Source organism: Homo sapiens, chromosome 11 (assembly GCF_000001405.40).
Source record: "Homo sapiens chromosome 11, GRCh38.p14 Primary Assembly".
Taxonomy (NCBI): domain Eukaryota; kingdom Metazoa; phylum Chordata; class Mammalia; order Primates; family Hominidae; genus Homo; species Homo sapiens.
This window is the reverse complement of record NC_000011.10, coordinates 111,465,631-111,482,927: the sequence shown is the minus strand read 5'-3', so window position 1 is coordinate 111,482,927 and position 17,297 is coordinate 111,465,631. Positions and strand designations below refer to the sequence as shown.

Sequence of the window (17,297 nt, the reverse complement as noted above, 5' to 3'; positions counted from 1 at the left end):
GAATTCATTCATTTTTCTCTTATAGATCATGATTTGGTGTCAAGTTTTAGAGCTTTTTGCCTAGCTCTAGATCCTGAAGTTTTTTTTTTTCTAAAGTTTTATGTTTTACATTTAGTTTGCCATCTATTTTGAGTTAATTTTTTGTATGAGATACCAGACTTAGATTAAAGTGCTTTTTTCTCCTCTATGAATATCCACTTACTCCAGCACCATTTGTTAAAATGAAAAGACTATCTTTCCTCCATCAAATTGTTCTTGCATCTTTGTGAAAATTCAGTTGAGTATATCACTGTGGGTGTATTTCTGTGTTCTGTGTTCTTGGCCTGTGTGTTTATTCTTCTGCCAACACCACACAGTTTTGATTACTGTAGCTGTGTAAATCTTGAAACTGGATAGATTCTTCCCACTTTATTCTTTCTAAAAATTACTTTAGCTATTCCAGTTTCTTTCCCTTTCCATGTACATTTTGGAATGATCTTGTCTATATCTATGAAAAATCTTGCTGAGATTTTGAAAGGAATTGTATTCACCCTATATATCAATCTGGAGAGAAAGGATGTCTCTACTATGTTGAGTATTTCAATTTATGAACACAATATGTTTCTCCATTTATTTAGATCAATTTCTTCGTGTGTGTGTGTTATACAACTCTTGTACATGATTTTTAGATTTATATCTAAGAATTTCATTTTTTGATCAATTATAAATGGTGTTATATTTTTAGTTTCAGTATCCATATGTTCATTGGTAATATATAGAAATACAGGTGATTTTTGTGTGTTTTCCTTTTGTCCTTTCTAGATGTTGCTGAACTTAGTTATTCCAGGAATTTTTTTTATCTCTGTGTAGATTGCTTGGGATTTTCTGTATTGACAATCATGTCATCTGCATAGGGATAGTTTTATTTATTTCTTTCCCAATATGGATGCATTTTATTTCTTTTTTTTGTGCTTTTCATGGGTGTAACTTTTGGCTCTATGTTGAATAGGAGTGCTAAGAACAGATATCCTTGACTTGTTCCTTTTTTTGGGAGAAAGCAATCCTTCACCATTAAGTAGATACTCATCAATTTTGTAGATACTACCTTTTAAAAAAATCAAATTGAGGAAGTTCCCTTCTAGTCCCATTTTTTGAGGGTTTTAATCATAAATGGATGTTGGATTTTGTGAAATGCTTTTTCTGCATCCATTTATATAATCATATAATTTTTCTTCTTTAGCCTATTGACATGTGGATTACTATGATTTTTTTAAAAAATATACTGAACCAGCTTTGCATCCATGAAATAAACCCAACTTGATCATGGCATATAATTCATTTTATATATTGCTGAAATTTATTTGCTAATATTTCAAGGGTTTTTACATTTATATTCATGAAATATATTGGTCTACAGTTCTAATTTTTTGTACTATCTTTGGTTTTGTTATCAGAGTAATACTATAAATATATAGTACAATATGTAATTTATTATATACATACTGTAAACACTTCATAAAGTAGATCAGAATGTAATGCTCTTCTATTTTATAGAAGAAATTGCATAGAGTTGATGTTAATCCTATTTTTAAATGTTTGGTAGAATTATATTATGAAGCTATCTGGGCCTGGAGACTTCTTCCTTGGAAATCAAAAAATTATAAATTCAATTTCCTTAATAGTTTTAGGATTATTTAAATAATATGTGTCATATTGGGTGAGTTGTAATACTTTGTGTTTCTTAACAAATTAGCCTATTTTATCTCTGAAATTTATGCATGTGGAGTTGTTTATAGTGTTTCCTTATTATCCTTTTGGTGTCTGCAGGTCTGCAGTGGTATCCCTACATTCATTCTTGATATTGGTAATTTGTGTCTTCACTTTCTTTTTAATTGTCAGAGGGTTTAATTCTAGAGGGTTGTCAATTTTATTGACCTTTCCAAAGAAATAGCTCTTTGCTTTACTGTGTTTTTTTCTATTGTTTTGTGTTTAGTTTCATTTATTTTTGCTATTACTTCCTTTCTTCTGCTTGCTTTGGGTTTATTTTACTCTTTTTCTAGATTTTTGGGGTAGAAGCTAAGATTATTGAATTGACACTTTCCCTCTTTTCTAATGTATATACTTAGTATTATAAATTTGCCTCTCAGCACTGCTTTAGCTGTGTGTTGTAAATTTTGATATGTTGTATTTTCTTTGATATTCATTTCAATGTATCTTTTATTTCCCTAAGACTTCTTTAACCATTGGATTATTTAGAAGTATTTTGTTTAGTTTCTAAGTGTTTGGAGATTTACCGGTTTTTGTTATTTATTTCTAATTTGGTTCTGTTCTGGTTGGACAATACACTCTGCATGTTTTCAATTTAAAAAAATTTGTTGAGGTTTGTTTATGCCCCAGGATATGATTTTTGATGCATATCCTGTGGGCACTTGAAAAGAATGTACATCCTGTTGTTGTTGGGGGGAATGTCCCATAAATGTTAATTAGATAATGTTGATTGATGGTGTCGAGTTCTTTTATATCCTTGCTGATTTTCTGTCTAGTTCTATAAATTGCTGAGAGGAGGTATTGAAGTCTCCAACTATAATTGTGATTTGTCCGTTTCTCTGTGTTTCACATGTGTTGCAGTTCTGTTGTGTATATAAGCATTTAGGACTGCTATGTATTCTTGGTAGATTGACCCTTTCATCATTATGTAATGTTCCTGTTTCTGGTAATCTACTTTGCTGTGATGTCGGCTTTATCTGATATTAATATAGCCATTCCTGCTTTCTTTTGATTAATGTTTGCATAGTATCTATTTTTGATCTTTTTATTTTCAATATGCTTATTTTATTATATTCGAGGTGAGTTTCTTGTAGATGGCATATTGTGTCTTATTTTTAGTTCACTCTACCAATTTCTGTCTCTTAACTGGTGTTTCTAGACTATTTGCATTTATTGCAATTATAAATATGTTAGGCCTCGAGTTTACCACTTAGTTTTTGTTTTCTGTTCTTTTTCATTTCTCAATTTTCTGTTCCTTACCTTCTTGTGGGTTACTTGAACACTTTTTAGAATTTCATTTTGGCATATCTTTAGTGTTTTTGAGCATATTTCTTTGTATAGCTTTTTTAGTGGTTGCTCTAGGTATTGCATTATATGTATGTAACTTGCCACAGTCTACCAGTGTTATTTTATAAGTTCAAGTAAAATATAAAAACCTTACTTCCCTTTGTCTTGTTATCTTCCCCCATTTATAATATACTTGCATTAAATATTTCCTCTACATATATTTAGAGCTATAATAGACCATGTTATAGTTTTCACTTCAACTGTTAAACATAATTTAGAAACTCAAGAGAAGGAAAGTCTATCATATTTATCCATAATTTCACTTCCTGTGTTCTTCCTTCCTGATGTTACAAGTTCTTTCTTTTGTTTCCCTTCTATTTAGAGAACTTCATTTAGCCATTCTTTTAGGTGAGTTATGCTTGATATATTCTTAGCTCTTTTTTAAAAATAGAGAACAGGGTCTCACTCTGTTGTCCAGGCTCGTCTTATACTCCTAGGCTCAAATGATCCTCCCACCTTGGCCTCCAGAAGTGTTGGGATTACAGGCATGAGTCACTGCACCCGGCTTATTCTTAGCTTTGATTCATCTGAGAATGTATTGTTTCTCCTTCTCATTCTTAAAGAATATTTCCCTTTGTATAGAATTTTGGGTTGACAGCTCTTTTCATTCAGCATTAGAAAAATATTGTGCCACTTCTTCCTGGCTTCCTGGTTTCTGATGAGAAGGTTGCTGTCATTCCAGTTGTTTTTCCTCTAGTGGTAGGGTGTCATTTTTCTCTGGCTGCTTTCAAGATTTTTTCTTTGCTTTTTGTTTTCAGAAATTTAATTATGATGTGGTGGTGTGGAGTTCTTTGGGTTTTCCTGTTTGGGATTCATTCAGCTTTTTAAATCTGTGGGGTTATATCTCTTTCCAAATTTGGAAAGTTTTCAGCTATTCTCTGAGTATTTTTTTTCAGCCTACCCCTTTCTTTTCTCTTTCTGAGTCTTTGATTACTTGAATGCTCCATCTTTTGCTATAGTACCATATGCCCCTGGTGCTCTATGCATTCATTTCCTCAGTCTTTTTTTCTCTTTCATTCAGATTAAATAATTTTTGATTGTTCTATCTAAAAACATTGATGATTTTTCCTCTATCTCTTCCGTTTTACTGTTGAGCCTATTCACGAAGCTTTATATTTTAGTTTTTACATTTTTCATTTCTAAAACGTTCATTTAGTTCTGTCTTCGATTTTTTTGCTGTGACTTTACCATTCGTTGCTGAGACTTATCTCATTTGTTTCAAGCATGTTCATAATCGCTTGTTGAAGCACTTTTCTGATGCTCCTTTAAAATCTTTGTCATAATTCTAACATCTTTGTCATCTTGGTGTTGTAATCTGTTGATTAGGTTTTCTCCTCACTCTTTGTTTATCTTTCTGGTTTTTAGTGTGATGAATGATTTTTGCCAAACCTGGATGCTTTTGATACCATGAGACTTGGGATTTTATTTAAACTTTGTTTCAACTGGTTTCCTTTGACCCTATTCCAGTGGGGGAGAGAAGGGAGTGCTGCTTTGCTACTTCCTAGTGGAAGTAAAAGTCCGGGTTTCCCTCTTGGCCTCCATTAATACCCAAGAAAGGGTCTCTCATTACTGCTGGGCAGGTATAGGAGTTCTAGCTCCTTATGTGGCTTCCACTAACACTGAGGCCAGGGTGGCCTCATTATCACTGGACAATGGCATAAGCCCTAACTCTCTACTTGTCCTCCTCTGATTCCACTACAGCAGGGAGGTGGTGGTGGTGATGGCAGCTGCAGGGAGGGGAGAGGTTATTACTGCCAGGTGTGGGGATGTCTAGACTTTCTATGTGGTTTCTACTGATACCATGAGGTGGAGGAGGGTTTGAACTACCCTGTGGGGATGAAAATTCCCAGTTCTCTGCTCGGTCGTCTCTGATACCAACCTAGCAGGAGGCTGGGATGACTTGATCCATACTGGCAAAGATGGAGCTCTAGACTCCCCATTCAACTTATGCTGGTGTGGGTAGGGCCAGTTTTTTCTTGTTGTTTTGTTAGTTTATAGGATTTATTGTTAAAGTTTTCTTTTTTGCTGCGCTGTCCCTTTCCTGGTCCTTTCGCTAAAGAGCAGGCTTTTGTGGTCTCTTTTGGTTGGTTACCATTGGTATTTATGGGTTGCTGGCTTCTTTATTTCCAAGTCTGGAATATACGATGGGGAAAGAAAATCTTTAGAACTCACCTCCATATCTTCCCTTGGAATCTGAGGTTCCCTAGCCAGTCTGCCTTCTTCTCTACACCTTTCAGAGTCTTATCTTCTTTCTTTTATGTGTATTGCCCAGGGATTTTAGTTGTTCTTAGTGGGAGGAGTACAGAAAAAACACCTATCCCATCTTCCTCAAAGATAGAATTCTATGTATCACTTTTGAAATAATAAATCTTAAGACAATTGAATATATTTTTGGAAAAGGGTCTTTTTTGATAATAGTTGGTAAATATGGCTTCTACATTTATTGAGGTTTTCTTATCTGTTTTCTAGTCAGTGGGCTGTGTGTGTGTGTACACAAGCTTGTTCCTTACAGATAACTAGAATGTCGATTTTAAAAAAGAACTTGCTATTGATTTGATTCAGCAATAAAAACGCATAATGCAGCAGTAAGGAGAACATGATCCCTGTCTTGTAATCTGTGGCATTTCCATTAAAAAGCATGTGCTTACTAAAAGCCTGCAGCTGTTAGTGTATTAATGGAAATAAGACACAGAGCCCAAGAAGTCAGCCAGGAAATTAATAGGATCATGTCCTGGTAGATGCCTTGATCAGCCAAGAATGAGGAATATAGAAAAAAGGTCTTTAAGTTCTGTACTACTTTTTCTTTGCCACCTCTCCCAGGGGCCCTGGACTCGTGGCTTAACTATCCTAAATAGTCTTGTGTGTCTGGCTTAATTAATCTTCACTCTGCTTTCTGGGAAATACATTTCATAATTTATGTGGGTAGCTAAATAAAGTTCTTGAAGACACATACCCAATATTAAATCAAACTAAGACTTGCCTTCTTCTTAAAATACTAGAGAGTCTTTAATCTTATAAAGTTATGCATTGGTTTGAGGGCGTGCTCTGTTTAAGAATTCCCTGTTAATGGAATAAATGGGAGGACAGCTCCCTCATAGCCCGTCTTATGGGCAATGACTATTTTACCATTTTATTAGTATCTGTGCCATGAAAGCACGATTTCAATCAAAATGGTAACTAATGAGGTATTTTTAAGGCTGTCTAATTTGGTACTTACCTGATGACTAATCTAACTATGTGAGCTGAATTAAGATGACTAAGTAGCCAATTCTAACAACAAAAAACTCAAAATAGAGGAGTTAGATGTAGTGACTTGATTCTGAGCAGAAGTTCCTGATAGCTTGATTTAAAAATCCTTGTTTAACTTAATTGTAAATCTTCTTTTCATGTTATTTCACTGTTTTTATTTTATTTTCTTGAAAGTAATCTACCATTAGTATTTTCATCAGTTGGATTGACAGCTAAATCCTCAGCCATGTATGGATGTCTCTTAATTATGACAAAAGACCTACAGAGCTAAAAATGTTGAATACCAGATGGACACTGAATTCATAAATTAGTCATCTTTCATTATCTACCCAAATAATATTTTTAAAAAGAAAGCTTTAATTCTTTAGTAGTCTATCGTCTATCTTCCTTGCATTGCTTAGGAGACTTGTTAACAAATATTTTATTGTGTGTGTGTGTGTGTGTGTGTGTATCTATTCTGGTACTTCTCTTGGTGCATGATATGGTTTGGCTGTGTCCCCACCCAAATCTCACCTTGAATTGTAGTAATCCCTATGTGTTAAGAGATCCTTCCTTGGGGTCGAGTGGAGGTGATTGAATCATGGGGGGTGGTTTCCCCCATACTGTTCTTGTGGTGGTGAATAAGTCTCACAAGATCTGATGGTTTTATAAATGGGAGTTCCGCTGCACAAGCTCTCTTGCCTGCTGCCATGTAAGATGTGACTTTGCTCCTCATTTGCCTTCAGCCATGGTTGTGAGGTCTCCCCAGCCATGTGGGACTGTGAGTCAATTAAACCTCTTTCCTTTATAAATTACCCAGTCTGAAGCATGTCTTTATTAGCAGCATGAGAACAGATAAATACAGGGCATGATACAGAATTATCCATGTGAGAAGCAGTTTGAATTTCAAGCATTGGCTTTGTAATCTGAGCAGCTTTTGAGTTGAAGTTTGTATCTGGATTTTTTTTAACCTAAATTCATGTGATGGTGTTGTATCTCCTGATCAGCACTCCAAAACTTCACTTTCAGATGACTGCTTATCTCTTTGTGGTGTTTCAACCAGGGCCTCCAAAGTGAATTTTGTGTGACATGGCCTATATTTTAAGTACACATTCTAGATCACCAAATATTATATATATATATCCATCTACTTTGTGATTCAGTAATAGACAACCTTAGCCTGATTGAATAATGACATATACAAGTTTTACATTCCCAGAAAGTTTTAGTCAATATCTTTAATACATATTTTAATAAGATACGTGATCTAATGATCTTTTAGTCACACTGAAAATTTTAGTCACAGTGAGCAGGGGTCCTCAACCTCTGTGGCAAATATTAGCCCCTATTATATATACACTTAAAACTATGATACACATTTATGTGTTTTACCATGAATATTATAGATTTTCCAATAATTCTTATCAGCTTCATCAGATGTTGTAGTGATGTATTTAAGACCTTTTAATAATGCAGACTGAAATGAGATTACCATTTTCTTTCTAGATCTAAAAATAAAATGGAAAAAATAAACATTATATAGTTGTTTTATAAAGACAGTCCACAAAATGGGGGAAATAGTTGCAGAATAAATAATTCCTACAAATCAGCAAGAAAAAAAATAGGCACAATCTAATGGAAAATGGGCAAAAGACTGGATTAGGCACTTTACAAGAGAAGGTATCTAAATGGTATATCAACATGAAAAACACTCAGTTTCATTGGTCATCTGGGAAATTTAAAACTACATTGAGATACCACACACCAGAAAAATGAAAACAGTAAAAAAGATGTAAAATACTAAGTGCTGATAGAAATGGAAAGCAACCAGAACCTTCACTGTTGGCAGTAAATAGTTTGGAACTCTAGTTGGTAGTATCTACTAACACTGAACATATCCATGTCCTAAGACCCAAGATTTCTAGTCCTAAGTATGTACCTGGCTAAATATAGTTATGTATCATCACCAGAAGGTGTGCAAGGCTGTTTTGTAATAATCCCAAACTGGAAAATACCCACATATGCATCAACAGTTGAATGAGTAAGTAGTAATGTATCTACACAGTGGGATAGTTTATAGCAAAGAGAATGAACAAACTACAACTACCTCCCACAATGTGAATGAATCTCAGAAAGTGGAGCAAAATAAGCAATAAAGTAACTCATATCTTATGGTTCCATTTATATGAAGTTCATGAATAAGCGAAAACTATTGATGATGTTTGAAGTCAGGATGGTGGTTACTCTATCTTGGAACATGTGACTAGAAGGAGGCATAAGCTGCTTCTAAAGAACTGGTGATGTTCTATTTCTTGATCTGGGGCTGGTTATATGGGAGTATTCACATTGGACAACTCGTTGAGGTATAAATTTATTATCTGTTCACTTTTAAAGCTGTTATTTTAATAAAGGTTTAAAAGTTTTCATCCCAGACACTGGCAATAACTTTAAATAAAGTGGATTGGGGCCCAGGAGGAGTCAGTGCCTGGTTATTTCTCTAGGTTGCTAGTTTCTGATCTTGATCTTGACATGATAGGTCTCTACTGTGCATGGGGAAGATGAAGACTTTGGGGTTCTCTCTTTGCTAATATTTTCCATTGACCTTACAAAATATTAGTGATGATTTGGAACCAAAACGTGTGATTTTTAAAGATACAACATTTTAAATGCTTAGGATTAAAAATAAACTTTTGTAAAACAGCAGTTGGTATCTTTGTGGTGTAGTGGAAGAAACCCTGAATGAGAAGACAGTGGACCCATGTTCTAGCTACTTTTTGTTCTCCTCCAGCTTGATGAATGGGGGCAAGTCTAATCCTCAGTTCCTTCTCTCTAGGATTAATATGTTACCTGCCTAAAGGGAAAGGGATAAACTATGCTTTAAACTACAACTTTTTTACTATTTTCATTTTTCTGGTGTGTGGTATCTCAATGTAGTTTTAAATTTCCCTGATGACCAATGCTCTATGCTCTCTTGGATCCTTTCTGAAATATAAGATCCACCCTCTGTTGTTGTAGGAGAAGCTCTTAAAGGAAGTGATGCCACTTATTCATACCATCACTCATTTCCAACCTTTTATTCTGTGGACATGTTCAATTATAAATATGGTCCAAACACAATAATAAATAATAGTTGGCATATAGCTAATTGTTATCTTAATGCTATTGATCATAAGGGTATCTCACCTTATCTTCACTCCCAAATTGATTTCTTGGTTTTCTTAGGATTTGTTGTTCTGCAGCGAGGATGCTTTTTAGGAAATGTTCCATACTGGTGAAGAGCAGAAGATCTTTGTTTTTATGAATATACTGTAGAGAATGTGGAAGACAGAGTTAATACTCTTGTTACCATTTATTTTAAGTGCCCTTGGATCTTGTTAGCCAGAATGTGGACCTGAGAGTACTATGTACAATTTTGCTTTTAAATTAAAGCAATATCTCTTCATAGGGGGTGGTTAGCAGAGGACTAACATTCCAGCTCCACAACTATTGCTATGTCTTAGGCAAGTTTGGTGTTTTTTTTTTTTTCACTTCTAGGCCTCGGTTTCCTCATCCATAAGTTAGGAATAAGAGTGGCTTCCACCTTATAAGAGCATGAGAAGATTAAGTGAGATGATGTATGTAAAACTCTCAATCATAACATGGCATGTAGCACATGGCAAGGTAATAAATGTTTGCTATTATCTGTCTTATAGTTAGCTCAGGTAGATTGTGGTTTCAGTATATTGCATCAGGGCCCATATAAATCTACTTGTTCATTAACACAGTAAATACATCTCAAGCCTACTGTGAGCCTGGCACATGGCCTACATCAGGAAATGAAACAAATCTCTCTGCCCTCATGGAGCTTACATTCCAGCTGAGGAAGGAAAGTAATAACAAGTGTAAGTAAATTATGTAGTGTGTTAGGAAAGGATATAGGAAAACTTAAGAGAAAGCTGCTGAGTAGGGGGAAAAGAGTTGCAAATTAAGATTGGATAGTCAGGGAAGGCCTCATTGAGAAGGTGATATTTGAACCAAGATAAGAAGGAGGTAAGGGAGTCAGGGGTAGACCAGGATTGGCACTATTTTGGGATGAGTAACTCTTTGCTCTGGGAGCTGTCCCATGCACTGTAGGCTGTTTAGCAGCATCCCTGGCCTCTACCCACTAGTTGTCAGTGGCAACCCCTTCTCCTGAGTCATGCCAATCAAAAACATCTCCAGGTATTGCCAAATATCCCCTGGGGGACAAAAATTCCTCCTGGGTGAGAAACACTGCCCTAGGGGAAAGAGTATTCCAGGCACAGGGAACCCTCGAGAGAAGTGTCCCTAGTGCTTGAAGAACAGTGAGGAGGAAAGTGTGGTTGGAGTTGAGTGAATGAGGGGAAGGGTAGTAGGTAAGAGAGTGAGATATAAGGCCTCATGACAATATTATTTGGCTTTTGCTCTGAGTAAATTGGGGAGACACAGCAGATTTTGAGCAGATCCAATTTCCATTTTGAAAGGATCACTTTGCTGTGTTGCAAGTAGGCTGAAGAGAAACAAGGGTGGACTTGAGGAAGCCATTAGTAAGGATTATAGTAATCCGGGCAAGAGGCAATGGTGGCCTTTTCACAAGGGTGGTATTGTAGTTGATGAGCAGTGGTTGGATTCTAGATATGCTTTGAAAGTAGAACAACAGGATTTCCTGATGGATTGGTTGTGGGTGTGTGTAACAGATGAGTTTCAAGGGATGCTTTGGCCTGAAAAACCTGAAGAACAGTTTCTATCAGTTGAGATGGGGGAAGGTTTTGAGTGGAGCAGGTTTGGAAAGAAATTAAAAATTGCGTTTTGGACATGTTGAGTTTGAAACAGTCAGGTGGAGATGGCCAATAAACAGTTGGAGGTATGGGTTAGAGAATTGGGGTTGAAGATAGAAATTTGAGGGTCATTGACATATAGATGAGATTTAAAGCTGGAAGACTAGAAGAGACCTTCAAGGGCAGAAAATATAGACTGGAGAAGGGGACGGGACTGAGTCCTGGCCCTCCAACATTAAGAGGCCGGAGAAAAGAGCAGGGATCAGCAAAGAAGACTGAGAAGGAACAATCAGAGAAGGAGGAAAACCAGAGGAGGCCAGTGTCTTGGGAGCCAAATGAAAAAAATATGTCAAGGAGGAGAATATGGTCAGATATGTCAAATGCTGCTGATGGATGAGCACAGAAAATGGACTGTTCTCTGTGATTTGTGGGAATTGGGGTCCAACAGAATTCTGTGGTCTGGATTACCGACATCATTATCAAACCCACAAAATAAATCTGCCTTAGTAACTAATAGAGATTCAATGATGGAGATATGTGTACGGGACAATTACTTAGCAGGATTCAGGAAATCTAGAATCTAGTCTCAGATCCACCACTACAAATAGCTTTATAACTTTGGGCAAATTCCTTATCTTCTTTTTCAATAATGTGGCTAAAAGTATAGACACTACCTACTTTGCAGGCTTGTTGGGTGGATCGAGTGACACTATATATAAAAGTGGCTTTGAAAATTATAGTTTGATATAAATATTGAAACATGATATGTTCTTGTTCATAAGAATGAATTAACCTTTAGTGCAGGATGATATTTTTCTTATCATAGACTTAAATTTTATGATTTTTATTTTTAATAGTTAAAATGCTGAGATACTTTCAAAAAAGTGTTTTATTGTATTTTTTGAGATAGGATCTCACTCTGTTGCCCAGGCTAGAGTGCAGTGGTGTGATCATAGCTCACTGCAGCCTCAGCTTCAAACTCCTGGGCTCAATGGATCCTTCTGCCTCAGCCTCCTGAATAGCTGGGACTACAGGTATGTGCCACCATGCCCGGCTAATTTATTTTTATTTTATTTTTGTAGAGATGGGGTCTCACTGTGTTGCCCAGGCTGGTCTCAGACTCCTGGGCTCAAGTGATCTTTCTGCCTCGGCCTCCCAAAGTGCAGAGATTACAGGTGTAAACTACTGCACCTGGCAAAAGTGCTTTAACAAGATATTAAGAATATCATTATCAAGCTTGCACAGAAAACAGCACACCATAAGTTTGGGTAAACATGCTGCCACTTGGGCATCTAAAGTTAGTATGAGTCACAGTTTTACAGATGGGATTCTGCTTAATTATTGATAATACATTAGTGAGACATGAAGTTAGCCCACATTTGTACTCCTCATGACTCAGTCATGTAACTACTGTCTGCCCTGTAGAATAGGATTTTTATTGTCATGAGGCCAGGTGCCATGGTTCATGCCTGTAATCCCAGAACTTTGGGAACACTGAGGCAGGTGGAATGCTTGAGCCCAAGCATTCAAGACCAGCCTGGGCAACCTGACAAAACCCTGTCTCTACAAAAAATTATGAAAATTTGCCGGGATGGTGGTGTGCACCTGTTTGGAAGGGTGAGATGGGAGGATCGCTTAAGCTCAGCAGGTCAAGGCTGCAGTCAGCTGTAATGGCATCACTGCACTCCAGCCTGGGCAGCGGAGCGAGATCCTGTCTCAAAAACAAAACAAAAAATATTGTCATATGTGGCTTGAGGTCAGAAATATCTGAATACACTGAGGCATTTACTCTGTGAAGAAGTCCATTTTAGTCAAGACCATGTGATACACATGATAAAGTTAGTTACCTCTTCTAGTGATTCTGGCTCCAAGGGAGATACATGCTTCATTTCAATGAGTTTAGACAGAAGATCCCTTTCTCTGTCAGAGATGGGCTGCTCTTCCAGCAGGATAGCACTTATGCTTTGGTCAAGTTTACTGTCCCTGGAAACTGCTGCCATTCTCAGTGTGATAGGGAATGCTTCCCTGAAATAGGCCTCCAGGCCCTTGGTCAAGGGAAGAGAAGGCAAGGGGGACAGATCAGTAGGGCTTCTATACAATTGCTGTTAAAGCTTTAAAATAATAGTTGAAAGAAAAATGGGGCTTGAGAGTTCTCATCTTTACTTGCCCTCACCATGGGTTATCATTGTCTTTAGCAGTTCTGGTGCAGTTTATGTGTGAACTGTTAAACAGCCACAGAAAGCTGAGATGCTGTGCTCATAGGAAAACCACTTCTGTGAAGCAGTGGTACGTGCATTTTGTCATATGCTGCCACGGGAAATCTGATTAGGAAAATCCTCTTCCTGGCCAGGCAGGAGGAACCAAAGGCCACAAGGGGACTCAAGTAGATTTGAAATGTTGCAAAGCCTAAAGCATTTATTCTCCTGGGGAACGGGGTCTGAGTCACAGAGAAAGAGAAGCAAAATGCCCTGTACATGTTATAAATACCTTGTAAAATGACCCCAGAAAGGCAGGGCTGGAGTCCTGGTGGGGTTCCCCAGCAGTGATGTGGGCCAGGCAGCGGATCAGCAGCAGAACAAAGCTTCCCACAGAGGCCAAACATTCTCTCCCAATGAACAGTGTGTTTTCAGCACTGTGAGAGGAGAAAACACCCAAACACAGAGATGTCCGCCCCTGGGAACATTCCCACCGCCCGTTTCTTTCTCAGGGTTTATGGCACATGGTCTAAAACAATACTCTCTGGCCCTAATGGAAATTTGCTGAAGGGAAGATTCAGATGACCGGGGAAAAATTGTTTGAGTTCAACTCTCTGAATAAGTCATTTGCTCCACTGTCTCCCAAGTTTTCCTACTGCCTCCATCTTACAGAAAACAAACTTAGAAATTCAGAGTTACTTGTGTATCTCTTTTGTCAATATCCTCCAATCACTGTTTCCTTAAGCAGTGGTTTTCAAACTTTTGTGTAATAAGAATCACAAGGGGGTGATTCTGTTCTCGAGACCCATCCCCAAATTCCTGGATCTGTGGGGTCTATGTGCTTCCATTTTTCCCAGGTTCCCCAAGTGGTTGGTTCAGGAGGTCTAAGGATCACAGTTTGAGAATCACTGCCTTAGAGGGCTCTCAAGGCTTTCTTCATCTTCCATGCCTTTATTGTAATCAAGTTTTCAAATCGCCTCTCTTGCCTGTTGATTTGAAGTAACTCTCTTGTTCATTCTCTTAAGAGACAGTAGGTTGGCATGAAAAAACTTCAGGTAGTTTGGAATCAGACAATCTGAGATCTATCCTTTGACTCAGCTGTGAGTGGCAGCTGCATAGACTCATGGTTATGAGTTTTTGGTGTCAAACACACCTGGGCTCGAGTTTTAACTCTTGCTAACTCTGTGATCTTGGGGAAGTTACTTAGCCTCTCTGGGCTTCAATTTCCTAATTTCTAAAACAAAGATAACAAAAGTACCCCATAGTGTTGTGAGTCGTAAATGAGACCATGCCTGTAAGGCACCTGGCTGAGTTCCTGGCACACGGCACTTGCACCACAACCTGAGTTCGTTTACCCATCCATAAAATGGGATTAAATTCTCGTCTATTTCATCGAGTTGCTTTGAGGATCAAGTGAAATGTGTGGAGAGTACCATATGTGAGTAGTTTCTGGTTTTATTAAACCCCCCAACAACCTACTAGTCAAGTATAAACCTTTTTCTAACCCTCCAGTATCGATGAGCAGTTTCTCCTCTCAGAATTGTTTAGCAATAGACTGTCATCAGTGTTTAAGGCAGTTACCAGCAAGGCACTTCCAATCTACATATCTGAAGAACTGCCAGGACAGGAACAATTTAGATCCTTTTCTGTAGAAAGATGCTGATTGTCCAGGATTTTCTGAAGCTGGAACCATGACTCTTATAGGAAATACCAGCCTGGAACCTCTGGCTTTGATAATGACAGAGATCTATTAAAGGGCACCAAGCTATTATGCTTCTCTGGGCACAAGCCAGAACATATTCATTTTACTGATTAGAGAAAGCTCTTACACTGTGACATTTATTATGCCTTAGCTAAATGACTTATTTCCAGGAGGGAATAAAATATGTCAGGATTTTAGGAAAAAATTATAAAATTTGTTCTTTTTGCTTTCATTTATCTATACTGGACCCCAGAATTTTATAACCCACATCTGGGAATGAATTTGCAGCACCTGGTAGAAGAAGGCACCTTGGAAGGCACTGCCTTGGGCTTCCATGGCAGGAAGATGAGAAGAAATCTTCAGGGTGATTTCTGGAGCCTGAAAAGAATAAAAAACAAAACCAAACCTATCCTTTTGCTAAAAAATTCTCATGCATCTCAGCTACGTGGCATCAGCCAAATTGATGAGAAGTAAATGCATTGGGGCATTAATTTAAATTGCAACAGGGTAAGTAGGCTTAGTATACAGGAAAATGGAAAGAGTAACTGCATATTTAATATTTATGCTAAATATGACAATCAATTTACTACTTTTCTAAATAGAACTTGACTAGACTAGAGAGATTTGAGCCATGATGCCTAGATTTTAACCTTGGCTCTGCCTTTTTGGCTGTGTGATCTTGGGTAAGTTTATGTAACCACTGTGTCTGTTCTGCTCAATTTTAAAATAGGAAAAATAATAGTATCTGTCTCATAGGGTTTTTTGAGGATTACATGAGTTAATTAATGGAAGTTATTAGAATATTTTCTGGCATGTAGAAAGTGACTAATTCATTCTACCTGTGATTAATATCATTCGAGAGATTAGACTTTGGATTGGTAAAATAACTCCCATAAATCCCCTTAAAGGAGAGACTAGAAAGTTTGCTGTTCCAGGTGCTTAATCCTAGGGAATATCTGCCATCTCAAAGGCTTCTTCCTGGCTACCCTGACCTTCTAGGCTCCATGAGTAACTGCTCCATAGAGAGGCCAGAAACAAGACTTACATGAAGCTGGGGGATAAGGAGGTGCAGGATGGAGAGGCCATACTGGTAAACCACAAACTCCCTGGCAGAAAGGTCAGTGGGTTGCACAGTTATCAACTCTTCCTTCTGCAGTGTCTGAGGTTTTAGAAGATCCTGCAGAGAGCTCTTTGGGTCTACAGAGATCAGGAGAAACCAGTAATAATTTCACTAACTTTTCTGTACAATAATGATATGTTAACAACACAACTCAATTTAGGAAAAGGTTTATTGCAACCATCTATCATCCATCCATCCATCCATCCACCCACCCATCCATCCTCCTGTGCTATATATGCATCATGCTACATGGTCTTCTGTCCACCTTTATGGAAAAAATGATTTTCAGTCAATAGGAACAGAGGGGCTAGGACAGAATGAGGGTCCACAGAAGATGGCAACAGATTTTCTTCTTCTATTTCCTTGAGTTGCTTGGAGCATTAAATGTAATATACTCAGAACAGTGTCTAGTACATAGAAAGCATTCAGCAAATGTTAAATATATTTAAGAATCTTACTTCCCTACAATATCTGTACGGAATGTCTGTAATGGCCTTGAGTATTTAAAATTTCTATTTTTTTAATTGTTTTTGAGAGAACAATAAAGAATGGATTGGTAGCAAAGTTTAGGGAAGACTGCTGAAGTAGCAGTCAGAAGACCTGTGTTCTGGCCCAGGTTCTATAAGACCCCAAGAAAGTCACTGAACTTCTTTGAGCATCAGTTCTCATCTATTAAAAAGTAATTAATAACCTTCTACTATCTTCTAGAACTAGAAGATATAAACAAGATAATGTATATAAAATTACTCTCAAAATTACAAGGCCAGTATAATGGCAAGACGAAGGTTGAAGTGGGGCTGGGAACCCTTAAAGGAGAGCTCATTTCTCTGCCATTCCCTTCCTAGTTTCACCCAAAGAAAGGAGGAATTAATAATGAGATTGGTCAAGTTCTCTGGAGTCAGTAAACTTTTTTTTTCTGGAAAGGGCCAGATAGTAAGTATTTTAGGCTTTGTTAGCCAAAAGCCAAAATTAGGGTTCAAAGTTAGTGTTCCCTTTCCTCACGGTAGAAGCATGGCCTCATTCTCCTACAAAGCCTTCTCTTGCTTCTCTGGTCCAGAAAAGCAAGTGATCTGCCCTCCTGGGAACTCACCAAAATGTGTTACCTGCATCTTCTTTTGGCACTGCCTTCATAGTGTTGAACAACTTTTCATTTGAGGAAGCACGTGAGGAGCACAGGGTCTGGG

General features: G+C 37.5%; 1 protein-coding gene across 18 annotated transcripts in view; it reads left to right on the top strand.

Annotated features, from left to right (window-relative positions):
* BTG4 (BTG anti-proliferation factor 4) overlaps positions 1-17,297 on the top strand; it is a 130,900-nt gene that overhangs the window by 31,798 nt on the left and 81,805 nt on the right. The window contains exons 6-7 of one of the 18 annotated variants that reach the window (XR_001747911.3): positions 9,856-9,981; positions 15,247-15,500. The exons of 14 other annotated variants lie outside the window; for them this stretch is intronic. Coding sequence is in view for 1 of the 4 variants with exons in the window: in NM_017589.4 (NP_060059.1) it covers positions 15,247-15,256 (10 nt within the window). In the remaining 3 variants the exon portion in view is untranslated. Of the gene's footprint in view, positions 1-9,855; positions 10,013-15,246; positions 15,501-17,297 lie in introns of those variants that run through there. 3 more of the 18 variants (XR_947855.3, NM_017589.4, XM_011542879.3) reach the window with 3 other exon arrangements.